At 54.1% G+C, this 27797-nt stretch overlaps 1 protein-coding gene across 7 annotated transcripts in view, besides 5 other annotated features; it reads left to right on the top strand.

Annotated features, from left to right (window-relative positions):
• Positions 1-26602, top strand: part of SH2D3C (SH2 domain containing 3C) — a 40350-nt gene extending 13748 nt beyond the window's left edge. For 3 of the 7 annotated variants that reach the window (NM_170600.3, NM_005489.4, NM_001252334.2), the window contains 10 exons: positions 3269-3308; positions 13619-13747; positions 15254-15708; positions 17648-17772; positions 19820-20355; positions 21955-22070; positions 22960-23131; positions 24550-24661; positions 25031-25237; positions 25998-26602. In NM_170600.3, coding sequence (NP_733745.1) covers positions 3269-3308; positions 13619-13747; positions 15254-15708; positions 17648-17772; positions 19820-20355; positions 21955-22070; positions 22960-23131; positions 24550-24661; positions 25031-25237; positions 25998-26173 — 2068 coding nt within the window. In that variant the 3' untranslated portion in view covers positions 26174-26602. Of the gene's footprint in view, positions 1-2478; positions 2799-3268; positions 3309-9614; positions 9841-13618; positions 13748-15253; positions 15709-17647; positions 17773-19819; positions 20356-21954; positions 22071-22959; positions 23132-24549; positions 24662-25030; positions 25238-25997 lie in introns of those variants that run through there. The other 4 variants (NM_001142531.1, NM_001142532.1, NM_001142533.1 and 1 more) reach the window with 4 other exon arrangements.
• Positions 108-690: an enhancer, noted in NCBI's record as "H3K4me1 hESC enhancer chr9:130526508-130527090 (GRCh37/hg19 assembly coordinates)". NCBI's record gives its function as "activates a minimal SCP1, AML or CMV promoter by ChIP-STARR-seq in primed H9 embryonic stem cells {active_cell/tissue: H9 hESC(primed)}" and the evidence as "EXISTENCE:reporter gene assay evidence [ECO:0000049][PMID:30033119]".
• Positions 1898-2773: an enhancer, noted in NCBI's record as "H3K4me1 hESC enhancer chr9:130524425-130525300 (GRCh37/hg19 assembly coordinates)". NCBI's record gives its function as "activates a minimal SCP1, AML or CMV promoter by ChIP-STARR-seq in primed H9 embryonic stem cells {active_cell/tissue: H9 hESC(primed)}" and the evidence as "EXISTENCE:reporter gene assay evidence [ECO:0000049][PMID:30033119]".
• Positions 2774-3651: an enhancer, noted in NCBI's record as "H3K4me1 hESC enhancer chr9:130523547-130524424 (GRCh37/hg19 assembly coordinates)". NCBI's record gives its function as "activates a minimal SCP1, AML or CMV promoter by ChIP-STARR-seq in naive H9 embryonic stem cells {active_cell/tissue: H9 hESC(naive)}" and the evidence as "EXISTENCE:reporter gene assay evidence [ECO:0000049][PMID:30033119]".
• Positions 22346-22973: an enhancer, noted in NCBI's record as "H3K4me1 hESC enhancer chr9:130504225-130504852 (GRCh37/hg19 assembly coordinates)". NCBI's record gives its function as "activates a minimal SCP1, AML or CMV promoter by ChIP-STARR-seq in primed H9 embryonic stem cells {active_cell/tissue: H9 hESC(primed)}" and the evidence as "EXISTENCE:reporter gene assay evidence [ECO:0000049][PMID:30033119]".
• Positions 22675-22969: an enhancer, noted in NCBI's record as "tiled region #4083; HepG2 Activating DNase unmatched - State 4:PromP, and K562 Activating DNase matched - State 4:PromP". NCBI's record gives its function as "activates a minimal TATA promoter and a strong SV40 promoter by Sharpr-MPRA in HepG2 and K562 cells {active_cell/tissue: HepG2 | K562}" and the evidence as "EXISTENCE:reporter gene assay evidence [ECO:0000049][PMID:27701403]".

Genomic DNA, 27797 nt, shown 5'->3' with positions numbered 1-27797 from the left:
TGGCCAACATGGCGAAACCCCATCTCTGCTAAAAATACAAAAAATTAGCCCGGCGTGGTGGTGGTCACCTGTAATCCCAGCTACTTGGGAGGCTGAGGCAGGAGAATCGCTTGGACACGGGAGGCGGAGGTTGCAGTCAGCCAAGATCGCACCACTGTACTCCAGCCTGGGCGATGGAGCGAGACTCCATCTCAACAGCAACAACAACAACAACAACAACAAAGAGCAGGAGGGAGGGAACCCGGGGGATATCTGCCGGAAAAATATTCCAGGCAGCAGGAATAGAAAGTGCAAAGACCCTGAGGTGGGGTGGGGGAGATGGAGCAGCGCAGGTGAGGGGGAGTGTGGTGGGCCATGGGGTCAGTGTGCAAGGCTGTTTCCAGGACCTTGGCTCTTACTGTGAGTGAAGCTGGGGGGCCACGCAAGTGGGTTGGAGCAGAGGAAAGCTGTGATCTGGCCTTCCTTTGAACAGGACTGCTGTGGCTGCTGTGCGGGGAGAATAGGTCTCAGGGACACAGATGGAGGCAGGGAAGCCAGTGGGAGGTGGTGGTGATAGTCCAGGCAAGTGATGGCAGCGGATTGTAACTGGACATGGTGATTGTGTCTTGGACATGTCAGAGTGTTGTAGCGCCACCCCATGGTGAGGCCATGGGGTGAAAGAGTGGCCCCAGAGCCTCAGCTTCCCTGAGCTGGTCCTCTGCCCTGAGCACCCCTATAGGCTCTGGCCACCCTAGTCAGGCCTGATCTCTTGTGCAGGCACCCTGTCTCCAAGGCTCTGCCCCTGTCCCAGAGCCCGAGGGGAAGTACAGGAAGCAGGAGGAAGCGCTGGGTTGATCCAGTGTCCTGGCCAATCTGTTCCCAGCAGTGGGAGGATTTCCGGGCCTGAATAGCAGGAAATGTTGGGATGGGATGCCTCACCCGGGAAGAGTGGGCGGAGGTGGCTGGGGGAGGGGTCCCTACTCTACCTCACTCCCACTGCTGCTGGACAGAGAGAACCCAAAAGCCTACTGTTGCTGGGCTGTAGCTTGAGGGACTGTGGTTAGTTACCAGCTAGGGCTTTCTAGGAGAGAAGATTAGCGATGAAGAACCCTAGTATGTTAGAACAGGGAGGGCTATCAGACAACGTCTTAAGGAGGAGCTTTTGGCTTTAGGACTGGGGGAACTCACAATTTTATTTTTTATCTCAGCTTTCTTTTGTTTGTAAATACTAGGCTCCTGTATTTGAGGAGGAGGTCCAATATTTGACTCCCCTCCCCATTTTGCAGATGGGAAGGCTGAGGCCTTTCTTAACCAGAGAACCTGGACCCAGCCTAACAAAATTAATGATGACAGCGATCAACAATTAAAATTGGCTCTTTACTATTCATGCATCCCTTTAAGCAATATTTCTTTCTTTCAACCTCTTCTTCTTGGGTTCAAGTGATTCTCCTGCCTCAGCGTCCCAAGTAGCCAGGATTACAGGCGTTCACTGCCACGCCCGGCTAATTTTTCTTTAAGCAATATTTCTTGAGCTCCTGCAGGCACTGTGTTGGGGACTGGGTCTCAGTGGTGATTTAGACAAAGTCAACACTTTCATAAGGGCATCAGATAATTAAGTCAATAAATAAATATGAAGTGGCCATTTCAGGCAGAAATTGCAAAAATTGAAAATAAAGTAGGGTTGGGAACACAGAGTGAAGGAATGAGGGACTATTCAAGGTGGGGAGGTCAGGGAAGGCTTCTCCGAAGAGGTGACATTAAGCAAAGCCCTGAATAAAGAGGGAGGAGGGACAAGCTTCATGAAGCCCTTGGGGAAGAGCATTCCAGGCAGAGGGAACAGCAAGTGCGAAGGCCCTGTGGCCGGAACAAGTTGCCAAGGAGGGTGGGGCAGAGGCAGAATAAGGGACATGAGGTGCAAGGGAGACAGCCTGGAGGGTCGGCAGGGTGGCTGTCGGGTACCAGCAGGCCACACAGGGCCTTGTGGGTTGGAGAACAGATGAGCCAATTTATGCCTGTTTTTCTGGCATAATCATGGTACCGTCTTTACTCTCACAAAGGAAGAAAAGTTCTGGTTTGGATGATAAATTGCATGGCCATGGAGAGGAGTTTAGATTTTGTTCTTCTAGAGATGGGAGCCGCTGAAGGGCTGAGGATGGTTCGTTTGCCATCAAATGCTTAGGTTGTAAGCTTAGGTGCCTTCTGGCCTTGGGGCAGAAGCTGACTGTGGGTGGCAGTGGACACGGAGCCCGAGGGAAGGCTCCTCTGCTCCACTGGAGACACGAGGGTGGCCCCACTTTGGGGACGGGGTGGACATGCGGAGAGGATTCTGACGGCGGAGCGGCAGGATTTCCTGGTGGACTGGGCGTGGAGCTGAATGGAAGACGGGGCACAAAGGACCACAGGGTTTTTGGCCAAAGCTGCAGGAAAGAGGAAACTGACATCAGCTGAGACGGGGAAGATGGGGAGGGGGCAGGGAGGAGCCACAGTTCTGCTTTGGATACACAAGTTGTAGATGGCCTTCAGATATCCAAGGGGAGGCGTCCAGGAGGTAGTTGGGTTTCCAAGTCTGGGGTTGGAGGGGCAGGTCCAGGCTGCCTGAGGGTAGGGGTAGCATTTAAGGCCATGCGGTGGGGGGAGTGGTTCACGGTGGCCCTCAGGAGGAAGGAAGGAAAAACAGCCGTCTCTGGCCTCTGGCCTCTCCAGGCTCTCCACCCTGGGGGCAGAATCAATTCTGTAGCCCTCTAGCACCGGCAGTGGCTCCGCAGTCAGCTGGGCAGTGGCCGTGACTGGGTCACTCTACCCTAGGAAGTGAGTGCAGGGTAAGAGGACGGGCTGATCCCCACTTGGGGCCCTCCAGTGTTTAGAGTCAGGGATGATGGGGGTGGGGTGGGAGGAGGGGGTAGGGAAGGCAGACAGAAGAAGAAGAAAACCAGGGAGGCGTGGTGTCTGGAGTCCAGTGAAGAAAGTGGTTTGGGAAGCAGACTCCATAATAAGCATGTAATGTTCATCACGCCCTGGGTCCTTGAGTCAATGCCATTAGGCAGAGGCTGTCATTATTCCTGATTTACAGATACGAAATGCAGGCTCAGAGAGGTGAAGGGACTTGCCTAGGGGTGCACAGCTGGAAAGTGGAGGAGCCAGGCCAGCTGATAAGTGCCCCCTCCTGCCTTCAGGGTGATCCTGCTGGGGTCCTAAGGGCCAGGTGCTGGCCCCAGGCAGGCAGGCAAGAGACCGGCAGCTGGGGAGCCAAGCAGGGCTGGGGATGCTCACTTGTCTTTTCTCCTTCCAGGGCTGCTGGAGAGCCAGAGGCTGGCAGCGACTATGTGAAGGTAGGAGGGGCTGGCCAGGGGTTGGTCAGAGGACACTGAAGGTCTCAGAGCCTGCTCCATTACGGGTGGGCAGAGCCCTTCCTCAAGCCTTGTTAGGAGCCAGACCTCACTGTGTATTCCCAGGAGGGGAGGTTCTCGGAGTCGAGGCAGCATTTGGATCCAGTTTCATTCTCAGCACCTTCTTCCTACACCAGCCATTATTCTTTCCTGGCCCCAAACTCAGGGCAACCCAATATTTGATATCATCTGACCCCACTCACTTGCCAGCTGGACGGGGCCCCAACAGTGTCTCCATGTAAAGGATGCAGCTTTCCAATCCCACCCAATCTTTGTGCACCTACTGTGTGCTGGCGCTGGAAGCAGGGAGCAGGAGAGGATGACTCAGTTCTTTATCACAGATAATGGGCACAGCTCAGATTTATCCAAAGCTTCATTTATCCTGGGTACTGGGAACATTGAAATGCAGTTTTGGCCGGGCACGGTGGCTCATGCTTGTAATCCCAGCACTTTGGGATGCCAAGGCGGGTGGATCACCTGAGGTCAGGAATGCAGGACCAGTCTGGCCAACATGGTGAAACCCCATCTCTACTAAAAATACAAAAAATTAGCCAGAAGTGGTGGTGCGTGCCTGTAATCCCAGCTACTCAGGAAGCTGAGGCAGGAGAATCGCTTGAACCCAGGAGGCGGAGGTTGCAGTGAGCTGAGATTTGCGCCACTGCACTCCAGCCCGGGAAAAAAGAAAAAAAAAGAAAATGCAGTTTTGAAATAACAATGATAGTAATAATAATAATCATAAATAACATATTGAGTGCCTACTGTGTGCAGACCCCGTGCTGGCTGCTAGACACTGGAGGAGAGGCATTCTTTACATGAGAGGTATTTGATTTTCTCCCTCATCACTGGGTAGGGAGAGCCTTCTTGTGCCCGTTTACAGATGGGAAACTTGAGGTCCAGAGAAGTGCAGTGACTTGCCCTGGGTCACATTACTTTTTTTTTCTTTTTTTTATTTTTATATACTTTAAGTTCTGGGGTAACACGTTCATGTGCAGAATGTGCAGGTTTGTTACATAGGTATATACATGCCATGGTGGTTTGCTGCACCCATCAACCCATGATCTACATTAGGTATTTTTCCTAATGCTATCCCTCCCCTAGCCCCCTACACCACATACTCTTAATGGTGAAAACCACAGTTACTTTTGCACCAACCTGATATTATGAGGAAGAACTGGGATTACACCCCAAGTTTGATGCCAGGACTATAGCCAAAGCCCTTGACCTTCTACCCCCAGGAGCCCCCACCCTAAGCAACGCCCTGTGCTGAGCACTGAGAGTAGGCAGAGGGCAAGGAGCACCAGGCCCTGAATTCAAAGGGCTCCCGGTCCATGTGGGACCCATGGAAGAAGCATATAGTGCTTTGCGCTTGTTTTTTGCAATCCATCAGATCCAACTTTTATTTTTATTATTATTTTTTTAAGAGCCACCTCTTAAAAGATCTCGCTCTGTCTCTCACTGCAGCCTTGAGCTCATGGGCTCAAGCAATCCTCCCACCTTAGCCTCCTAAGTCCCTGGGACTACATGTGTGTGCCACTGCTAATTTAAAAAAAAAAAAATTTTTTTTTTTTTTTGAGACGGAGTCTCACTCTGTTGCCCAGGCTGGAGCACAGTGGTGCGATTTTGGCTCACTGCAAGCTCCGCCTCCCGGGTTCACACCATTCTCCTGCCTCAGCCTCCCGAGTAGCTGGGACTATAGGTGCCTGCCACCACGCCGGGCTAATTTTTTATATTTTTAGTAGAGTCGGAGTTTCACCGTGTTAGCCAGGATGGTCTTGATCTCCTGACTTCGTGATCCGCCTGCCTTGGCCTCCCAAAATGCTGGGATTACAGGCGTGAGCCACCACGCCCGGCCAAAAAACAATTTTTTTTTAAAGGTGGGGTCTCACTGTGTTGCCCAGGCTGGTCTCAAAAGCCTGGCCTCAAGTGATCCTCCTGCCTCAGCCTCCCAAAGTGCTGGGAATACAAGCACGAGTGACCATGCCCAGCAAATCCAAATTTTAGTCCCGTCAAAGCATGATGGGCCAGGCCCAGTGGCTCAGGCTGGGCACAGTGGCTCATGCCTGTAATCCCAGCACTTTGGGAGGCCAAGGCGGGCAGATCACCTGAGGTCAGCAGTTCGAGGCCAGCCTGGCCAACATGGCGAAATCCTATCTCTACTAAAAATACAAAAATTAGCCAGGCGTGGTGGCACATGCCTGTAATCCCAGCTACTGGGGAGGCTGAGGAAGGAGACTTCCTTGAACCCAGGAGGGAGAGGTTGCAGTGAGTGGAGATAGCACCACTGTACTCCAGCCTGGGCGACAGAGCAAGACTCCATCTCAAAAGAGATTAAAAAAAAAGCATGATGTAGGCTGATATAGAAAACCCCACAAAACTAAAAAACAAATTTTAGTCTGAGATCTGCCACTTACTTGCCACTGGATTTGGGTGTGGCATTGCCTCCCTGAGCCTGTGTTTGACTGTGTGAAATGGTAACAGGGGTGCCTCCAACCCAGGGTTGCTATGGCTTCAGTGAGCCCGTGGCCGTGAGTGGGCGACCTGGGCCTGGAACAGGGCGGGCTGGCCTAGCTCCTCACTGCAGGGACATTTCATCACCCTGAGATGCTATCTGCACAACTCTATGTAAGTGACTAGTAATGGAGCAGCGAGGGAAGTCCTCAGATTGCTGCCCCCTCACCATCACCAGAAGCTGTGGGAGCTCCAGAGGTAGGGGATGACTTTTAGTTGGGGAGCTGGAGAGCTGGAGATCAAGGAAAGCTTTCTGGAGGAGGAAGCATTGGAGCCAGGCCATTGCAGTTGACTGGGAACATTCACTGAGATCTCTCCATGTATGAAATGCTAGAAAGGAGACAAAGTTAAGCAGAGATGGGTAGGAGAGTGGCCCTGGCAGAGGCAGGAGTGTGGACAAAGTCAGAAAGTAAACTGCGTGAGCCCAGAAACAGAGCCCAGGGTAGCAGCAAGTTGAGCAGAAATTCCAGAACCCTTATGCCACCGTGGGAGGGAGGACCTGGGGAAAACCAACACCAAAGCCAATGGGTGGAATGCAGGGGGCATATTTCAGCATCCCATTGACCCCAGCTGCCTGGTAAGGTAGTGAGATCCCTGTGAGGAATGTTGGCTTTATATTTTTTTCCTTTAGTTTATTTTTAGGGTTTAAAAATGTAGGTTTTTTTTTTTAACATTGTAAAATAAATAATACCTGCTCAGTAGAACTGATTAAACAGTCTGCCAAAGGACAAAGTCAAAGGAATGTTAATTTTAGTTTCAAGACTCAGATGAGGTTCTGGGCACGGTGGCTCATGCCTGTAATCCCAGCAACTGGGAGGCCACAGTAGGAGGGTCATTTAAGGCCAGGAGTTTGAGACCAGCCTGGGCAACATAGCAAGATCCTGTCTCTAGAAAAAATATATAAAAATTAGCTGGGAAGGCTGGGTGCGGTGGCTCACACCTGGGCTCACACCTGTAATCCCAGCACTTTGGGGGCCTTGGGCCTTGGAATTGGGAGGCCAAGGCGGGCAAATCACTTGAGGCCAGGAGTTTGAGAACACCCTGGCCAAGATAGTGAAAACCCTCTATTAAAAATACAAAAAACTGGCCGGGTGCAGTGGCTCACGCCTGTAATCTCAGCACTTTGGGAGGCCGAGGTGGGTGGATTACTTGAGGTCAGGAGTTCAAGACCAGCCTGGCCAACATGGAGAAACCCCATCTCTACTAAAAAAATGATATAAAAAAGTTATCCAGGCGTGGTGGCACACTACTGTAATCCCAGCTACTCAGGAGGATGAGGCAGGAGAATTGCTTGAATCTGGGAATTGGAGGTTGCAGTGAGCTGAGATCTTGCCGCTGCACTCCAGCCTGGGTGATGGAGCGAGACTCCATCTCAAAATAATAATAATAATAATAATAATCATCATCATCATCATCATCATCATCATCATCATCATCATCATCTGGGTATGGTGGTGCATGCCTGTAATCCCAGCTACTCAGAGCTACTCAGGTGGCTGAGGCATGAGAATCACTCGAACCCAGGAGGCAGAGGCTGCAGTGAGCCGATATTGAGCCACTGCACTCCAACCTGGGTGACAGAGTGAGACCATGTCTTGAAAAAAAAAAATAGCTGAGCATGGTGGTGTGCACCTGTAGTCCCAGCTACTCGGGAGGCTGAGGCAAGAGAATTGCTTGAGCCCAGGAGGTCAATGCTGCAGTGAGCTGTGATTATGCCACTGCACTCCAACCGGGCGACAGAGGGATACCCTGCCTCTCAAAAAAAAAAAAAAATCAAATGAGGGTTAAAAGGAATCAATAGTTGGGTTCCAAAAGCCCCCTCCTAGGCTGGGCACGGTGGCTTATGCGTGTAATGCGGGCAGATCACTTGAGGTCAAGAGGTCAAGACCAGCCTGGCCAACATGGTGAAACCCCATCTCTATAAAAAAAAAAAAAAAAAAAATTAGCCAAGCATGGTGGCAGGCACTTGTCACTTGTAATCCCAGCTACTCGGGAAGCTGAGGCAGGAGAATTGCTTGAGCCCAGGCGGCCGAGATTGCAGTGAGCCAAGATCACTCAACTCCACTTCAGCCTGGGCAACAAGAACAAAACTCTGTCTCAAAAAAACAAGAACAGGCCAGGCGTGGAGGCTCATGCTTGTAATGCCAGCACTTTGGGAGGCCGAGGTGGGCGGATCACGAGGTCAGGAGATCGAGACCACGGTGAAACCCTGTCTCTACTAAAAATACAAAAAATTAGCGGGCATGGTGGCAGGCGCCTGTAGTCCCAGCTACTCGGAGAGGCTGAGGCAGGAGAATGGCATGAACGCGGGAGGCGGAGCTTACATTGAGCCGAGATATTGCCACTGCACTCCAGCCTGGGTGACAGAGCGAGACTCCATCTCAAAAAAAAAAAAAAAAAAAAAAGCCCCCTCCTACCTTGAGATACTCATCTTTGAGGAGTCAGCTTCCAGAACTTCAGAGTTCTCAAACTATTTTGTGCATCCTTTGATTCTAAGGCAAGGATTCTTAAATTCCAAGACCATAAAATTCCAGGCTGCATGCCCAGAGCTTCAGATGTATTTACAGAAAACAAACAAACAACTGAGGCCCAGAGAGGTGGACTCACCCACCTGCGGTCACACAGCCTGTCAGAAGGATTTGGACCTGAGGCCTGACTGATGGGGAATCAGCAATGGCTCCCTTTGCATTGAAGAGCCTATGGTTCTGAGACAAAAAGTCCAGTTTCTTTTTCTTTTTCTTTTTGAGACAGAGTCTTGCTCCATCACCCGGGCTGGAGTGCAGTGGTACAATCTTGGCTCACTGCAACCTCCGCCTCCTGGGTTCAAGCGATTCTCATGCCTCAGCCTCCTGAGTAGCTGGGATTGCAGGCATGCGCCACCACACCCGGCTAATTTTTTTGTGTTTTTAGTAGAGACAGGGTTTCACCATGTTGGCCAGACTGGTCTTGAACTCCTGGCCTCAAGTGATGCACTTGCCCCGGTCTCCCAGGGCGTGGGATTACAGGCGTGAGCCACCATGCCAGGCCAAAAAGTCCAGTTTCTAAGACAGGAAGCTTGAAAATAATAGCGTGCACTTATTGAGCGCTTACTTCATGCCTGGCAACTTACATGCACCAGCTCAGCGAAAGCTCAGAAGAGTTCTGTGAGGTCAGCACAGGCTTTAGCTGCGTTTGACAGGTGCATTTTCCACAAGTGAGTCGTAGATCCCAGGGAAAGAGCTGGTGGGAGTGGGCGCACCAGTAGTTAGGGGACAGTTGAATCCAGGCTGCCCCTCTAACCACTGGGCTTTACTGGCTCTCTGCACCCCCAGAGTCTTGTCAGTGAACATCCTCGATTCCCAGCAGAGTCTCTGATTCCAAACCAGGGATGAGAAATCCTGGGCTCTGGGAGATTTCCTGAGGCCACAGAGAATTTGGTCCAGCACATATACGGATTTTTCCAGTTTTAGATATGATTTAATTCAAAGTCTCTGCCCGCTCCCGGTCTGTTAGAGGTGCGGCGAGTGGGGGAGGCAGAACCTCCCCTCGCTGGCCCATGGGTCCCCACCCGATCCCGCTGCCCCCGGTAATACCCTCCTTGGCAGGTCCTCCGCTCCGCGCCCGCAGCTCCAGGCAGCCCGAGCGCGCGGAACTGGAGGGCGGGGGGCGAGGGGCTGGGAGCGGGGGGCGGGCGGAGGGAGGAACAATGGCCCCCTCCCCTCCCCTGGCCGGCTGGAGGGTGGGGTCTCCCCGCCCCGCCTCCCCGCTCCTCCCCCGACAAGGCGATGAGGTAATCGCGCCGCTGAGAGGCACGCGCAGCCGGTGCCTAGCCGGTTGGTCCCTGCGCCCCTGCCCCGCCGGCCACCGCCCCCCCACACCGTCCCGGCCCCGGCAGCCTGGCCCCACCATGACCGAGCGGTGCAGCCTGTGGAGTGCCCTGTCGGCCGCCGCCTGCTGCTTCTACCGCGGCTCCTTCGTGCAGGTGCAGGTGAGGGGGCGGCTCGGCCCCCGCCACGCGCGCCGGGCTGGGACCCCCGGCCGCTCCGCCCGGGGCCCTAGAGCCAGCCGGGGAGCTGCAGCTCAGCGGCGCCCGGCAGGGTCGGGCTGGGCTGGGCCCGGCCGACCCGGGGAGGGGGCGGGGTCACCCCAGCCTCACCTCTGGGCGCCCAGGCGCTCCGCGGGGTGAGGGTTCGGCGGCCACTCCTGGGACTCTGGGCTGCGGTAGATGCCGGTCCGTTTCTGCCTCCTCCGCAGGAGGGAGAGAGCTGGGGCAGGGGGGACTGGGAGATGGGGTCTCCGGCGTCCTGCCGGTCCTCCGCCTGGTACGCTGGCCCTTGCGGCTGACCTGGGCACCCTGGCTCCCCATTGTACCGGGGGCGCCGGACTGGGATCTGAAGACTGAGTGAGGAGCAGGAAACGCGGGGGATGCTTCGGATGCCAGGGTTGGGGCCAGAGCGCCCGCCACCCTCCCGCCCTCTAGGTGGGCTTGGACATGCCTGGGGCGCGGGTCTCTCCCAGCCCAGCTGGCCGGGCAGTGCAGGACGGCGCCGCGGCGGTGAGAGGGTTAAACGGAAGGGGGTGGAGGGGAGGACCCGGACCCCGCCTCTCTGCGGAGCATCCTTTGGGGATGGCTTTGCTTGGGGTTGGGACGCCGAGGGGAGCTGGAGGGGATGCTGGGCTCGGGCTGGCGGGAAGGGGTTAAGACCCTGTCCGGGGGTCTCCGCGCTCCTGCCCCCTGAGCCCCCTGGGAGATGCCAGGCGCGTCGGCTCTTCGCTCCCCCAGGCTCACACACGCTCGCGGAGCCCGCCTGAAGGACTGCCCCGCCGGCGGCGGAGCGCAGCATCCCCGCACCGGCCAATCAGGCGCGCGCAGGCCGGGAGGCGGTGAGATCATCTCTGGCCAATAGCAGGGCGCCGAGCGCAGGGATGCTGCATTCGCACCCCAGCACCCCCAACTCTAGGGAACTGGGGGCTCCCAGGTCGAGGTGAGATCAAGGCACAGGGACCCTAGGATTCCTCACCCTCAGGTGTGTGGGAGGACCAAGTTGGTCCCCCCAAACTCTCCGTGACCAGTGATTAAGCTGGAAAAGGGGAGCCCAGTCTCCCAGCCCCTTTAACGGATGAGGCTGCCCAGGCCCAGAGAGGGGAAGTGACTGGCTCAAGGTCACACAGTGGCAGCCTTGGGGCGGTTCTTCAACATCCAGCCTCCTCCCTCCTTTGCCCACGTCCCTCTAGCTCCAGCTGTGGAACTGGGGGAAGGTCTCAATCGCATGCCCTTTGTCAAGGAGGACGCCAGAAGGCTGAGGTCTTGGTTCCCTTTTTCCCTGTGACGCCCACTCTCCCCTTTCCAGGGTTTGGTGTGATATGAGGAAAGAGGACTAGCCTGGTGTGAGCACCGCAGAGTGAGAGGGAGAGAGACCAGGGACCCCCAGAAGTAGGGGACCCCTTGGAGAAGTGTAGGTGTCTGAGAAGGCCCAGATCCTAGCCCAGCCCTGGGCCTCTCTGCCCTTCGGGGGCATCGGTTTCTACCACGGCCGGAGGATGTGCAGAATTCCCACTCCCAGGCCCCGCCTTTCTCCTGAGCACCTGTGCAAACCGCCCACTCCCACCATCTGTCCCCAGAGCCCTGCAGGCTCCTCAAGGTCCAAATTTTCATGGGTCCACCACCAAGCTGCTCCTGCCCCAGCCTTGCCCACTCAGAGCATGTCCCAATCATCCTTCTAGGATCTCGGCCAGGAGTCCTCTCTGACCCCTCCGCCCTGCTCCCCCACATGAATCAATGGCCATCTAAACTCCCTTTCCCCCACTCCTTCTGCCCACGCCTTATCTGCCCTGCCACTGCCTGGAAAACCCTAGGCTGCTCTCCATAAGTGGACTAAACCTGCCCCAACACTTCCAAACCCCTCCATGGCTCTGCTGTGGCCTCCAGATAAACCCCAGCTCCCTGAGGCAGCCGTGCCACACCTGCCCCTGCCCCCACAGCCCCTTGGAAGCTTCTTATTCATCTCCCCTCCCTCCCCTTGGCTCTGCCCGTAGGACCCTGACTTTGCCGCTCTCTCCCCAGAAGCTCTTCCCTGTCCACCTGTCCACCTGCCCTCTCCACCCTGGTGCTTTTGCTTGGCTCACCCAGTCCTTCAGACCTCAGCAGAAACACCACCTTTTCAGGGAAGTGATTCCTGACTCTGCCCCCTGACTAGTTTGGTGGTGCACCATCTCTGTGCATCTCGGGACATTCAGGAAACCTGGAATTGATTGTCAGTGTCTGCAAGGCCTCCCCCAGGGCAGAGGCCACCTTGGGTCCTCAGCCCTGGCACAGGACCAGGATAGGGACCTAGTCAATGTTGAATGGAATCAGAGATTCTAGATATCTCTGACACTGGGAATCATGGTGTCTTGGGAGCAATGCAGACTAGGCTAAACCCAGGCAGTATGGGAGCAGAGGGGTGAGGGATGTAGCCACAGAATTAGGAGGCGAGATCTGTGGATAGTCTGAGGAGGCAGGGAGTGGACTGGAGGACCTTCGGACTCTCAGGAGCGAGGGGCCCCAGGGAGAGACTCACCTGGGATGAAGGCCCTTTACTGCCCTCCCTCATCTGTCCTGCCTTCTGGCCAGCGCTGGGGTCTGTCTGTCTTGGAGTAGCCATCTTTGGGGCCTGGAGGTGGGGGAAGGAGAGGAAGAACCATCCCATGTCCTCGCAGTGATGAGGATGTCCATGTGCTAGTAGTACTCTGGAGTGCTGTCTCTTTTCATCTTCGCAGTGAGGTGAGGCAGGTTCTGTCACTGTACCCATTTTAATGAGGAAGAAATTGAGGCCCAGAGAGCTCACAAGGCACAGCCAGGATTGGGCTGGGCTCTGGTGGGCGTACACCTGGCATTAAGGGCTTCCTTTCCTCTTCCCTTAGGGCCCCTGGGATCCATCAGCCTCCAACTTCAGGCCACAGTAATCAAGAAACCAGGAGTTTCTGGGCCAGGTGGGAGGGTGGAGTACTGGACATTATCTCCCTCAGTGGCCTTGGGCTTCCCTGCTGGGCCATGGTCTCCCCATCTGGGTGAGGATTGCTGAGGATTTCAAGGGAGAAATGGCCTTGGAAATTGTAAGGGGCAATGCAGATGTCTGTTTGGGGTCCCCGTGTCCCTGTTTATAGTCCCTTCCCCACCCTTGCATTGTAGAATGCACCATCCCAGAACGTATCCTTGTCCAACCAGTTCTGTGGTTTTGTTCATAGCTTTTCCTGCAGTTACCTGCTGCCTTACCTCCAAGATTCACCTGTAGAAATCCCCCTCCAACACTTCAAGAACAGTTTGGTGCCCTTGGTATATAATGAGTGTTTTCTTACTGCCATCTCCTCCAGGAAGGCTTCCGAGACCCCTCTGTCGTGCCCAGGCTTAATCCCGCTTGTAAAAGCCACCCGGCTCTTTGCCGCTGTCCAGCGCTGTGGTGCTGACCGCACTCTACTCAGAGGCTCCTGTTGCTTTTGCCTCTCCTCAGACTAGGCACTGCCTTGAGGGCCGGGCTTGGTTTATATATCACTGCATCCACCCCTGGCATATAGCACAGGGCCTGGAATGCAGCTGGCATTGTTTTGTGGAAGGAATTGAGATTTCTTTACTCTTTCTGGGACCCATGGGAAAGGGTCTGGCACCTGTGCCTTAGTGTTCCCAGAGTCCCAGGATAGGAGGAGTTCATCCATGGTAGAATGAAGTTGGGAGGGAAAGAAGAAGGAGACTTTAAGTTGGATGCCAACTCTTGCTGTTTTCTACCCAGTTCTCCAAGGAGAAGTACATCCTGGACTCATCGCCAGAGAAACTCCACAAGGAATTGGAGGAGGAGCTCAAACTCAGCAGCACGGATCTCCGCAGCCATGCCTGGTACCATGGCCGCATCCCCCGAGAGGTGAGTAGGCCCCGAGCTGGACTTCAACCCGGGACCCTCCCACCCACTGCCTTGGCCAGCCCCAGCCCTGGCTGCAGCCACCTGGGAGGCTCTGACCTGTTGCTTGGTGGATTCAATCAGAATGGACTGGGATGAGGTCTAGCTCTGCCCTTTACTGACTGTGTGACCTTGAACAAGTTGCTTCACCTCTCCGAGCCTCAGTATCTACTGCAAAGGGGTGTTGTGAAAATTAAACGAAATAATGCAGGTAAAATGTTTAACATGATGCTTGACACCATGAATGTTGGCCTTTGTTCTTATTATTATGCTGTTATTGTTACTGGTCTACATATCTGCCTTTTGTATGTTTGCTTAGTGAGTACCAATCTTTGGGCTACTTAGTTTTGGCAAAGTTGAGTTTCTTGGCTGAGGTGACTTTATAAGCCACAGAATTAAGTTGATAGATCACTTGTTCCTTCTTTCATTTATGCTATGATCTTTGCCAAACACCAACTCTGCCAGGACCTGTGCTAAGCACCAAGGGTGCAGAGGTAGAAAAGGTGGTGGCTTCTCTTGATGGCTAATGGCCCAGGGTGGGGGACTGACAGGCAGGATGACAGTCAGAGCCTAGTGGAAGAAGTACAAGAATAGAGTGCCTGGTAAGAATATGGGCGAGTCCCGAGGAGGGGACACTGAGGATGGAAGCCTTTGTGAGGTGGATAGGAGTTCACCAGGTGGGGCCAGGTGCGATGGCTCATGCCTGTAATCTCACCACTTTGGGAGGCTGAGGTGGGCAGATCACCTGAGGTCAGGAGTTTCAGACCAGCCTGGCCCACATGGTGAAACCTCGTCTCTACTAAAAATACGAAAATTAGCCAGGCATGGTGGCATGCACCTGTAATGCCAGCTACTCAGGAGGCTGAGGCAGGAGAATCACTTGAACCAAGGAGGCGGAGGTTGCAGTGAGTGTGCCACCTCACTCCAGCCTGGGTGACAGTGAGACTCCATCTTAATAATAATAATAATAATAATAACAATAATAATAATAATAAAGAAGTTCATCAGATGGACAAGGCAGGAAGGGTGTTCCAGGACAAAAAAGCAGCTTGAGGGTGCAAGGGCCAGAGGCATGCCAGAGCACTGGGTGGTTGGAAGAATGAGGATTAGGAATTCACTCTGCCCAACCGGAACCCTGAGAAGGGATGGGTCTGAGACCTGGGTCTCAGGTCACAGCCATTCTCACTCCTCCAGACCCTGGGCCTCTGTGCCTCCCATTCCAAGGTGTTGGGTCCTCCCATTCCTGAGCCTCTGTGCTGCAGACTCAGGGCCTCTGGCTGAGGTGCCCCCTGTGAACCTGGGTCATTGCATCCCCGCTCTCAGATGTCAGATGTCTCTGTTCATTGGGTCCTCTATGCCCTGGGTCTGGTCTTGCTGTGCCCCCTAATCCTGGGTTGCTCTGTCCCCCAGATCCTGGGTCTGACCCTCTCCTGGCCCCACCCTACTCCAGCCTAACCATGCCTTCTGCAGGTCTCGGAGACCTTGGTACAACGCAACGGCGACTTCCTCATCCGGGACTCACTCACCAGCCTGGGCGACTATGTGCTCACGTGCCGCTGGCGCAACCAGGCCTTGCACTTCAAGATCAACAAGGTGGTGGTGAAGGCAGGCGAGAGCTACACACACATCCAGTACCTGTTTGAGCAGGAGAGCTTTGACCACGTGCCCGCCCTCGTGCGCTATCATGTGGGCAGCCGCAAGGCTGTGTCAGAGCAGAGTGGTGCCATCATCTACTGCCCGGTGAACCGCACCTTCCCACTGCGCTACCTCGAGGCCAGCTATGGCCTGGGACAGGGGAGTAGCAAGCCTGCTAGCCCCGTCAGCCCCTCAGGCCCCAAGGGCAGCCACATGAAGCGGCGCAGCGTCACCATGACCGATGGGCTCACTGCTGACAAGGTCACCCGCAGCGATGGCTGCCCCACCAGGTCAGCCAGGGCCCCATTTGTCAAATGGGGTTGTGGGTAATGAGAGGGCTAGTGAGAAAGAGAAGGCCTAGGTACACTGAAATGGGATGAAATTACTCTCCTGGAGCCTCTGTGTGCAGGGAGGAATGGGAGGAAGGTTGGGCCATACTCTGTGGATGTACAGAACACAGGGCTTGCAGGGAGTCAGACCCAGGTTGCAGTCCCAGCTCTGCCACTCGCTGGCCATGTGCCCTTGACCCTGTCACCTCTCCTCTGTTATCCCCATGTTCCTACCTATAAAGGCTTTCATTCAAGCAGCCCTCCCTACCCCAGGGGAGCCCTGAGTCCTGAACCGGAGAGGGGCCTGGTCCCCGCCACCTGATGCCACCCCTCCTCATCCTACCCAGCTAGGCCAAGGTGGGCATCTGAGCAGAGGGCTTTACAGCATGCAAATCACTGCACAGGGAATGGGATGTTCTCAGCAAATTTTAATCACACCTGGTTGTCTCCGGGGCTAAAATCAGGCCCCAGATGCTGGGAAAAGCCACAGCAGCTGACGGTTCCTGAGATCCTACTAAGTGTTAAGTGCTGTATGTGCCCAATCTCATCAACGCCCATTTCCTCCTGGGAGGTGGGTCCTGCCCATACACCCAATTTGTAGATGAGGACATAGGCTTAGAGGGGGGAAGCCGCTTGCTAGAGAGTGGTAGGATCAAGATTCAAACCCAGGTCCGTAGACTCTGAAGTCTGTGCCCCAAGTTTCTGTGGTTTCCCTGGCTGTTTGCAAAGAGATCTGCTGTCCTGTGCCACCTGCACTTGGATAGGCCCTTGAGGCTCTGTCTCCCTGGGGCTGGGTTGGGTGCTCCCAGTCAAGGAATTGATGAATGGATACCCTGTGGGCTGCAGCCACTTGGCCTGTGGTTGGGAACCAGTAAACATAATGGTGTCAGGATCCACGGACCATGTGTGCCTGAGGCATCCTGAGCATAGTTGGGAGCAGTGAGGAGAGGTTGGGATGGTGGGCCCACTCCTTAAGGCTCACTACTCTTCCTGCTAGCCCCTCTCCCCAGACCATTCTCCAGGTTGGAGGAAAGATTCTGCTTATCAAGCTGAGGGCACTAGTGAGGGGCCGTGTCTGCCCAGAGAATGGTTGTAGTTGACTAATTTGCACAAAGGCACCTCATGGGGTAGTTGAATTCTGGCCTATACCCCCTTTCCCATCCTCTCCTCCTTGGGAAAGGAGAGGGACAGAGGAGCTTGAGAAGTGTTGGCTCAGCTGGGTGCCCCCAAGCCTCATCCTCAGGCTGCTCTAAGCTTTGTGGGAGGGGAAGCTGGATAGGAAAGGAGGAGAGCAGGGTCATGTGGAAGATACCGACTAGGAACCGGGCTAATGGCCAAGCGTGGTGGCTCGTGCCTGTAATCCCAGCACTTTGCGAGGATGAGGTGGGTGAATCACCTGAGGTCAGAAGTTTGAGACAAGCCTGGCCAACATGGTGAAACCCCATCTCTACTAAAAATACAAAAAATTAGCCACGCTTGGTAACGGGCACCTGTAATCCCAGCTACTCGGAGGCTGAAGCAGGAGAATGTCTTGAACTCGGGAGGCAGGTTCAGCAGTTGCAGTGAGCTGAAATCACGCCACTGCACTGCAGTCTGGGCGACAGAGTGAGACTCCATCTCCGAAAAAAAAAACAAAAAAGAAAAGAAAAAAGACAAAAAAAGAAAAAAAGAAACCAGGCGTTCTAGCCACCAGGGTTCCTAGCTCTGCTCCTGACTCGCTGTGCCCCCTCCCTCATCTGGGCTTCAGTTTTTTTGGTACCTGTCAGTCGGGAGGTTGGATTTGATAATCTCCAAGCCTTCTCTGCCTCTGAAGTTCAAGGTGCAGAGGTGGGGGGTCCCAGAGGCAGGCTGAGGCCCCTGACCTCCGGGCTCCCTGCCCATGATGGTGTCTGCTCCACAGTACGTCGCTGCCCCGCCCTCGGGACTCCATCCGCAGCTGTGCCCTCAGCATGGACCAGATCCCAGACCTGCACTCACCCATGTCGCCCATCTCCGAGAGCCCTAGCTCCCCTGCCTACAGCACTGGTATGGCCAGCAGAGGGGGTGGAGCAGGTGGAGGGAATCTGTTGTTGAAGACTTCTGTCACCTATGTGTGGTTATGTGTGTTTCCGCCTCTTTTATGAGGCGCGACCTTTACCAAGAGAAAGAACTGACACTGGAATCCTGCTAACAGAACTGTTGATATCAACATATAAGATGTATCCATGGTTTGTTTATTTAGCAACTATTTATTTGTTTTTGTGACAGTTTTGCTCTTGTGGGCTGGAGTGCAGTGGTGGGATCTTGGCTCACTGCAACCTCCGCCTCCTGGGTTCAAGCGATTCTCTTGCTTCAGCCTCCCAAGTAGCTGGGATTACAGACCCCTGCCACCACGCCTGGCTAATTTTTGTATTTTTAGTAGAGACGGTGTTTCGTCATGTTGGCCAGAGTGGTCTCGAACTCCTGACCTCAGGTGATCCACCTGCCTTGGCCTCCCACAGTGCTGGGATTACAGGCGTGTGCCACCATGCCTAGCTAATTTTTGTATTTTTAGTAGAGATGGGGTTTCACCATGTTGGCCAGGGTGGTCTCGAACTCCTGACCTCAGGTGATCCACCCGCCTCAGCCTCCCAAAGTGCTGGGATTACAGGCATGAGCCACTGCACCTGGCCTCTATTTTTCTTAATAGACTTTATTTTTTAGAGCAGTTTTAGGTTTGCAGCAAAATTAAGTGGAAAGTACGGAACACTGTGCTTTCTTATAAATACGAAGAAAGTTTCTCTGTTAGAAACATTCCAATAGATCATTTCTGGAAAAAAAATAAAAAGAATGTTTTCAACAGGCCGTATTGTCCACGTGGCAGGCCAAGTGTCACGAGAGGGGGCTGACTCAGGAGGAACTTTCGCCTAGGGTGGCATTCCATTGAAGTGTTGCTGTCTGTATCGGTTGTCACAAATCCTTCCCTAAACACAGAGCCACCAACTTTGTCATAACTACAAACTTGATTTCAAAGCAATACCCTGAGTATAAAACCTAAAATTCCTTGCCAGAATGACTTATTGGACAGTTTCTAAGCAATCTGGTATAGTAAAGCAGCCCAGATGTCAAGACTTAAATCTCAGCTGTACCACTTGCTGGCTGGGTGACCTTGGGCAGGTTAGTGCACCTCTCTGAGCTTCACTTTTCTCATCTGTAGAATGAGGATTATAAAAGTACTTACTTCATAGGACATTGAAAGGATTAAATAGACTGAGGTACAAAGAAGGGTCTTGCAGGCACTAAGAGCTTAGTAAATATCGCCTTTGAGGTTTGATGATGGTTTTACTGTCATTATGTCTCCAGCATGTTGCCAGCTCCTAGCACACAAGGTTTAGCAACAAATCATTATTGCTAATTCAGGCCGGGCATGGTGGGGCACATCTGTAATCCCAGCTACTCAGGAGGCTGAGGCACAAGAATTGCTTGAACCTGGGAGGCGGGGGTTGCAGTGAGCTGAGATCATGCCATTGCACTCCAGCCTAGGCAACAGAGCGAGACTCTGACTCAAAAAAAAGTTAGCCAGGCGTTGTGGCACATGACTGTAATCCCAGCTACTCGGGAGGCTGAGGCTCAAGAATTGAAGAATTGCTTGAACCCAGGAGGTGGAGGTTGCAGTGAGCCTAGATGGCACCACTGCACTCCAGCCTGGGCCACAGAGCGAGACAGTGACTCAAAAAAAAAAAAAAAAAAAAAAAAAAGGAAATCATTATTGCTAATTCGTCGAGAAACAATCACATGTGGCACAAGAAACTCCAGCAGGTACTCAGCTTCCCCGGATCACTGAAGCTCCTCCAAGCAGTGGGTCCCCAAGGCTGCAGCAGCCTCAGGGTGGGGCCATGCAAACTCCTGGGTCCTGGTGATTTCAGAGCATCACCTGGGCTGGTCAGCTTGCCAGAGTCAATCGGCCCTGGTCTCTGGTGATGCAGGGAGGTGGGGACATCACCTCTGTACTCCCTACAAGGAGTGAGGGAGCCTGTTCTTTGGGAAGGGGTGCGGGAATCTCACTTTGGTGGGGAGCTGCTATAACGGGGCCTCTCTCTCTACCTTTCTGCAGTAACCCGTGTCCATGCCGCCCCTGCAGCCCCTTCTGCCACAGCATTGCCTGCCTCCCCTGTCGCCCGCCGTTCCAGTGAGCCCCAGCTGTGTCCCGGAAGTGCCCCAAAGACCCATGGGGAGTCAGACAAGGGCCCCCACACCAGCCCCTCCCACACCCTTGGCAAGGCCTCCCCGTCACCATCACTCAGCAGCTACAGTGACCCGGACTCTGGCCACTACTGCCAGCTCCAGCCTCCCGTGCGTGGCAGCCGAGAGTGGGCAGCGACTGAGACCTCCAGCCAGCAGGCCAGGAGCTATGGGGAGAGGCTAAAGGAACTGTCAGAAAATGGGGCCCCTGAAGGGGACTGGGGCAAGACCTTCACAGTCCCCATCGTGGAAGTCACTTCTTCCTTCAACCCGGCCACCTTCCAGTCACTACTGATCCCCAGGGATAACCGGCCACTGGAGGTGGGCCTTCTGCGCAAGGTCAAGGAGCTGCTGGCAGAAGTGGATGCCCGGACGCTGGCCCGGCATGTCACCAAGGTGGACTGCCTGGTAGGTGCTGGCTGTGCACTGGGGTGGAGGGAGCATCTCTGTTCTGTGGGGCAGGGCAGTGAGAAGCTGGCTCCCAGATTCCCCAAGTACAGCAGGTGGGCCTGGATTCTAGCTCCATGGCTGTCCTTTGCCTGCTCTGTGACTCTGGGCTGGTCATTTAGCCTCACTGGGCCTCCAGTTTCTCCTTTTAAAAAGGCCGGGGGTGGTAGCTCACACCTGAATCCCAGCACTTTGGGAGGCCGAGGCGGGCGGATCACCTGAGGTCAGGAGTTCAAGACCAGCCTGGGCAACATGGCGAAACCCCGTCTCTACTAAAAATACAAAAATTAGCTAGGCGTCGTGGTGGGCGCCTGTAATCCCAGCTACTTGGAAGGCTGAGGCAGGAGAATCACTTGAACCTTGGAGGCGGAGGTTGCAGTGAGCTGAGATCACACCACTGCACTCCAGCCTGGGCAACAGAACGACACTATTCAAAAAAAAAAAAAAAAAAAGCACATAAGATATCCTTGCTTCCTCCAGATGTCAGTTTGGCACTAAAACTGGGCAGCCCTGAAACCCAGTGGTCTCTGGCTCCCTGAGGCAGTTGGGGACACTTCTCTAGTGTGCCATAGAGCCTCTTGAGGGTTAGCCAGCTTGTCCTGGGACTAGAAAAGGCCTGACTCTCTGCCCCCACCGCCCCCCCGCCACTGGACAAATAAGCAGAAATCATTACCTCCTCGGCCCATAAATTGTCAATGCCTGGGCCTTAGCTTTGTTAAATCTTTGAACATCTAAAGACCCCAGTTCTCTCTGTGCTTCAGTTTCTCCTTTCACAGTTTGGGAGAAACTGATTATTGGGTTATACTGGTCTCAGAGCGCGGGAAGCAAGAAAAGAAACAAGGCAAAGATGTCACTCCATGAAGAGTCCAGGGTGGCAGGGAGGACCCAGGTTCTAGGCCCAGTGTGTGACCTTGGGCAAGCCCATTCCCTGCCCGGGCTTCAGGGTTTCCCTCTGCAATGAACAAGTATCCAGCTCTTAACCTTAACTGAATATTTATTTATTTATTTTATTTTTATTTTTTGAGATGGAGTCTCACTCTGTCACCGAGGCTGGAGTGCAGTGGCGTGATATCGGCTCACTGCAACCTCTGCCTCCTGGGTTCAAGCGATTCTCCTGCCCCAACCTCCCGAGTAGCTGGGACTACAGGCACGCGCCACTATACCCGGCTGATTTTTGAATTTTTGGTAGAGATGGGGTTTCGCCATGTTGGCCAGGCTGGTCTCGAACTCCTGACCTCAGGCGATCCGCCCACCTTGGCCTCCCAAAGTGCTGGCATTACAGGCGTGAGCCACCCCGCCCGGCCGACCGTAACTGAATATTTAATTGCCAGGCACCTCTGGACATTTTCCTATTAATTCCTACTTCACAGATGGGGAAACTGAGGCTCGCTGAGAAAGGCAGAGTCACTTGCTCCATATCAGAGGGTTAGCGGTGGAGCTGGAATTCAAACCCCGCCTCCCAACCAGGCTACCTACCCCCTTAGATAAAGCTCTCTGACTCCCAGATGGCTGGGGCCAGCCCTGACAGGATATTAATCAGCCCTCTGGGCGTCTTTGCAGGTTGCTAGGATACTGGGCGTTACCAAGGAGATGCAGACCCTAATGGGAGTCCGCTGGGGCATGGAACTGCTCACCCTCCCCCATGGCCGGCAGCTACGCCTAGACCTGCTGGAAAGGTGAGACAGCGCCGGCACCCGGGGACTCGCGGGGAACCCCCGGCTACCGCACTCCCCGCTGGACGGGGCGGGTTGGCCAATCACAGCCTCAGCTCGGCTCCCAGGGGGCTCTGGCCACGCCTCCCATCCCATTGACCAATCGCAAGCCCTGATAACCCGCTCTAAACAGGCTGATTTCCCAAAGACTGAATCCTGTATCTCCGCATTCGCCTTCCTTTCGCATCCCCTTGACCAGTCATCCCCTTGACCATCAGCCTGGCCTCGCCCATCAGCTGGGGCTCCTCCTTGTTCGTTCTTAAAACTGCTCTGCCTGGCCGGGCGCGGTGGCTCGAGCCTGTAATCCCAGCATTTTGGGAGGCCGAGGCGGGCGAATCACCTGAGGTCAGGAGTTCGACACCAGCCTGGCCAGCATGGCGAAACCCCGTCTTTACTAAAAATACAAAAATTAGCAGGGCGTGGTGGCGCGCGTCTGTAATCCCAGCTCCTCTGGAGGCTGAGGCAGAAGAATCGCTTAAACCCAGGAGGCGGAGGTTGCAGTGAGCAGGGATCGCGCCATTGCACTCCAGACTGGGCGACAAGAGCGAGACTCCGTCTCAAAAAACAAACAAACAAACAAACAAACAAAAACAAAACAAAAAACTACTCTGCGTGATGCATTTCCCTGCTGACCCACAGCTCTGGCCCCGCCCCTGATTTATGCTGACCAATCAGAAGCCCGAGGCCTTGCTTTCCACGCTCTGGCCGCGCCCCCTTATCCCATTGACCCTTACAACCTCTCACGTTGGCTCCGCCCTCCGCCTCTCCCGGCCCAACCACAGGCAGCGCCCCAGGCCCGCACCCCTCACCCCTGTCCCCGAGCCCGCCGCCTCTGACCCCGCCGCTCTGACAGGTTCCACACCATGTCCATCATGCTGGCCGTGGACATCCTGGGCTGCACCGGCTCTGCGGAGGAGCGGGCAGCGCTGCTGCACAAGACCATTCAGCTGGCGGCCGAGCTGCGGGGGACTATGGGCAACATGTTCAGCTTCGCGGCGGTCATGGGTGCCCTGGACATGGCCCAGGTACTGAGAGCCGCGCAGAGCTGGCACCCGGTAGACTGTCTGGAAGAGCCCTGGGGTGCCTTTGGGATGGCTGTATATGGAATCAGGAGGAGCTTTGGAATTTCTAGGCAGAATTGGTGAGACTACCCGGGAGAACTGAGTTCTGCAAGTGCCGACCCACAGCAAGTTCTTCCCCTTCTCTGGGCCTCAGTTTCCTCGCTTGTAAAATAAAACAAATGAGGAGCATTATATGAGTTTAAAGAATAAGAATAGGCCGGGTGCCGTGGCTCATGCCTGTAATCCCAGCACTTTGGGAGGCTGAGGCGGGCGGATCACGAGGTCAGAGGTTCAAGACCAGCCTAGGCAATATGGTGAAACCCCGTTTCTACTAAAAAGTACAAAAAGCCGGGCGTGGTGGTGCGCACCTGTAATCCCAGCTACTCGGGAGGCTGAGGCAGGAGAATCGCTTGAACCAGGGAGGCAGAGGTTGCAGTGAGCCAAGATTGCGCCACTGCACTCCACCCTGGGCAACAGAGTGAGACTCCGTCTCAAAAAAAAAAAAAAAAAGAATAAGAAGAAAGTGGCAACCATTTAGTGAGTATTTCCTATAGGCTAGGTGCTATACTAAGTGCTTAACCAGCACTGATTTCTCAGAACCATCTCATGAAGTAGGTGCCTTTAGCATCCACATTTTACAAATGGAGTGTTTGAGACAGAGCAGTCCTTGCCTAAGGTCATACGGTCAGAGGCTGAAAGAATTAGGACTTGAACCAGGTCTGGCTGACTTCAGAGCTGAGCCTGCCTCTCCTATGACTAATAAATAACAACAGCCAGGCGCGGTAGCTCACGCCTGTAATCCCAGCACTTTGGGAGGCCAAGGTGGGTGGAGCACAAGGTCAGGAGATTGAGATCATCTTGGCCAACATGGTGAAACCCCGTCTCTACTAAAAATACAAACAAATTAGCCGGGCGTGGTGACACATGTCTGTAGTCTCAGCTACTCGGCAGGCTGAGGCAGGAGAATCGCGTGAAGCCAGGAGGCGGAGTTTGCAGTGAGCCGAGATTGCGCCACTGCACTCCAGCCTGGGTGACAGAATGAGACTCCGTCTCAAAAACAAAATAATAAAAAATAAATAAATAAGAACAACAAGTTCCCAGAGGCAGTGTCCTGCGTTCAACTCCCACCCAGCTCTGCCACTTTTTTTCAGAATAACCTTGGGCAAGTCATTCCTGTCTCTGAGCCTTAGTTCCCTAATCTGTAAAATGGGTTGTGAGAGCTTCATGGTAGACATGAAAAGTAGTCATCACTGTCCCTGGTACATGAAGGATGGCCATAATAATAATAACGATCCCACATCTGGGTGTCCACTCAGCAGGGCAGCAGGGTGGCCCCTGCAGGCCCTCTGCCTGGCTGGTCTCTCACAGTTTGGCCTCCCCAGATTTCTCGGCTGGAGCAGACATGGGTGACCCTGCGGCAGCGACACACAGAGGGTGCCATCCTGTACGAGAAGAAGCTCAAGCCTTTTCTCAAGAGCCTCAACGAGGGCAAAGGTACTTCCTTGTTGCGTGACCTTGGACAGGCTGCAGCCCTCCCTGGGGTTGCAAAGACTCCCAGCATGGACAGTGATGACAGCCTGGCTGAGCTCTGTGCAAGCTACTTTCCCTGAGCTCACTGTTCCTGCTGGCAGCTGTGTCAGCCCTGTTCATGTCCAGGCTCAGCCCTTGGGGCTGGGCCAGGGCTGCAGTGGGTTCAGTTGGGGGAATCCGAAAGAAAGGGTTTGTCCCAGGAGTCAGGAGCCCTTGGGGCTCTCTCCCGGACCTCAGCCAGGCCCGTTCCCTCCTGCACCTCAGCTTCCAGGACTGCAGTGGATGGTGGGGCACTACAGGATCTTTAAGCGCCTGCTGCCTTTCTCCTTGCAGAAGGCCCGCCGCTGAGCAACACCACGTTTCCTCATGTGCTGCCCCTCATCACCCTGCTGGAGTGTGACTCGGCCCCACCAGAGGGCCCTGAGCCCTGGGGCAGCACGGAGCACGGCGTGGAGGTGGTGCTGGCTCACCTGGAGGCCGCCCGCACAGTGGCACACCACGGAGGCCTGTACCACACCAATGCTGAAGTCAAGCTGCAGGGTGAGTGGCGGGTGGCATCTTGGGGGGCTTGCAGGCCTGGGCCTCCCTCCACCTGCCTCACTGCTTCCCTTTTCTCCAAGGCATCCATTCACATTTCTCCACTCCTCTGTCCTGCCCTGTCTCCCTGACCCCTTCCTCTCATGTCTTTTCTTTTCTTTTTTCTTTTTTTTTTGAGATGGAGTCTCACACTGTCGCCCAGGCTGGAGTGCAGTGGCACAGTCTCGGCTCACTGCAACCTCCGCCTCCCAAGTTCAAGCGATTCTCCTGCCTCAGCCTCCCGAGTAGCTGCAATTACAGGCGTGAGCCACCATACCTGGCCAATTTTTTGTATTTTTAGTAGAGGTGGGGTTCCACCATGTTGGGCCGCTGGTCTTGAACTCCTGACCTCAGGTGATCCACCCGCCTTGGCCTCCCAAAGTGCTGGGATTACAGGTGTGAGCCACCGCACCCAGCCTAAAATGTATACATCTTTCTTAGGAAATAATTTGGAACTTAACAGAAAAATACGAAAAAAGAAAAAAAATCACCAAAAATCTGCAAACATATTTAACATTAATATTTTATGGTCTAGTCATTTTTAAATTATATGCTGCAAATAACAGGACAAAGATGCTAAACTACAGGGTCGTGTTGATTCACAAACCTTGTTGGATCCCTGGCGGAGTTGAGGGGAGGTCCCTAACAGGGGGGTCCTGAAGAATGCTAGGGCTCTGGACAGGAACCCCAGCCTCTGCCCTGACCCTATGCCCCAACACTGCAGGGTTCCAGGCCCGGCCGGAGCTCCTGGAGGTGTTCAGCACGGAGTTCCAGATGCGCCTTCTCTGGGGCAGTCAGGGTGCCAGCAGCAGCCAGGCCCGGCGCTATGAGAAGTTCGACAAGGTCCTCACTGCCCTGTCCCACAAGCTGGAACCTGCTGTCCGCTCCAGCGAGCTGTGACCCCAGGGACATTTCCCCTCTGCAGCTGCGGACAGCGTCAGGGGCAGAGGGGCACACAACTTTCCCCAGAGCACCCCAAGGACACTGTGATCAACCCGAGAATGTTCTGGGTTCAACTCAAGCATCTCCCTTGCACCTCCAGGGTCCTGCGTGGACTCTGGGTTCCATCCCACCTGCTACATGCTCACCAGGTCTCCATTGAGGAAGAACAGGAACGCCGGTTCCCCCACCAGCTTTTGCTGCTCCCCTTCCTGCTGGGGTTCCCTGTTTTCGAGCCATGGGAGGCAGGCTGCTCACGCCTCCTCACTCTCTGTCTGTCCCTCACCAACACCAAGGCCTCCATCTCACTGTAAATAAGTCTCTGTTCTGTAAATAGATGTACAGAAGCCATGTTATTTCTTTCATATAATAAACTTTTATGACTCTTTATTCTGTCTCTCGGGCTCCTGGGGTAGAAGGAAGCACCTTTTCTCAGGCGAAAGGTAGAAAACTTCATTCAACAAATGTTGTGAGTGAGTGCCGAGTATCTGGGGCCAGTGGCATGGGAGTAAGAAGAATTTACCAAGACAGTTGTAGGTAAAGAAAGGCAGATTTATTTCAGGAAGCATGAAAATGCATTGCAAGGTAGCAACGGGCAGATCAGCAGAAGAGGAGCTGACTGCAAAGAGACAAAGCCTTGCTGTGAGTTTTTATGGGATGGCATTTCTGCTGTGTGCTGAACAGGGCTTTCTGCAGTACTGATAATGCCAAGGTTGCAGTGGGCTAACCTACATGTGTCCGGTGAGAAGTTGGGCACAGGAGGGCTGTGTGTCCTGAACCATCAAGAAGGCAGACTTCTGGCCAGGCATGGTGGCTCATGCCTGTAATCCCAGCACTTTGGGAGGCTGAGGCAGGCGGATCACCAGGTCAGGAGATCAAGACCATCCTGGCTAACATGGTGAAACCCTGTCTCTACTAAAAATACAAAAAATTAGCCGGGCGTGGTGGTGGACGCCTGTAGTCCCAGCTGCTTGGGAGGCTGAGGCAGGAGAATGGCGTGAACCTGGGAGGTGGAGCTTGCAGTGAGCCAAGATCGCGCCACTGCACTCCAACCTGGGCAACAGAGCGAGACTCCGTCTCAAAAAAAAAAAAAAAAAAAAAAAGGCAGACTTTGAGCTTATCTGCTTTCTCTTTTTGCTTTCCCCTGGTCCCATCAGCATGACTCATTTTCCCTAATTAGGACTCAACAACAAATACTTCTTTAGCACCTGGGACAGTCCAGATTGTGCCAGGAGCCAGGGTTACAGCAAATATGAAAACCCAATCCTTGCTTTCTGGGAGCTCACAGACCAGCGGGAGAGATAAATAGCTAATTCCAACCCAGTGCTCCTATCCCCTGCCCTGCCCTGGGATGGATGCCATGGCAACAGTTCCCACAAATGCACAACCAAAAATCCGAGGATTTGGGGTGGAAGGGCTTTTTGAAATCTATGATCCCAACTCCCCTCTTGAAGACTGGTACCTGAAAGGAGAAGGGACTTTTCCCGGGTCACAGCAGCAGCAGAGTGGGAAAGGCTCCACCTGGCTTCCTGGACCCAGACTTCTCTCCTTTTTTCTCCTTGATAGTGGGAACTACTCATTTTCT

The sequence above is a fragment of the Homo sapiens genome, chromosome 9 (genome assembly GCF_000001405.40).
Source record: "Homo sapiens chromosome 9, GRCh38.p14 Primary Assembly".
In the NCBI taxonomy this organism is placed as follows: Eukaryota; Metazoa; Chordata; class Mammalia; order Primates; family Hominidae; genus Homo; species Homo sapiens.
Note: the sequence above shows the minus strand (reverse complement) of the source record. Positions and strands in the feature narration are given on the sequence as shown.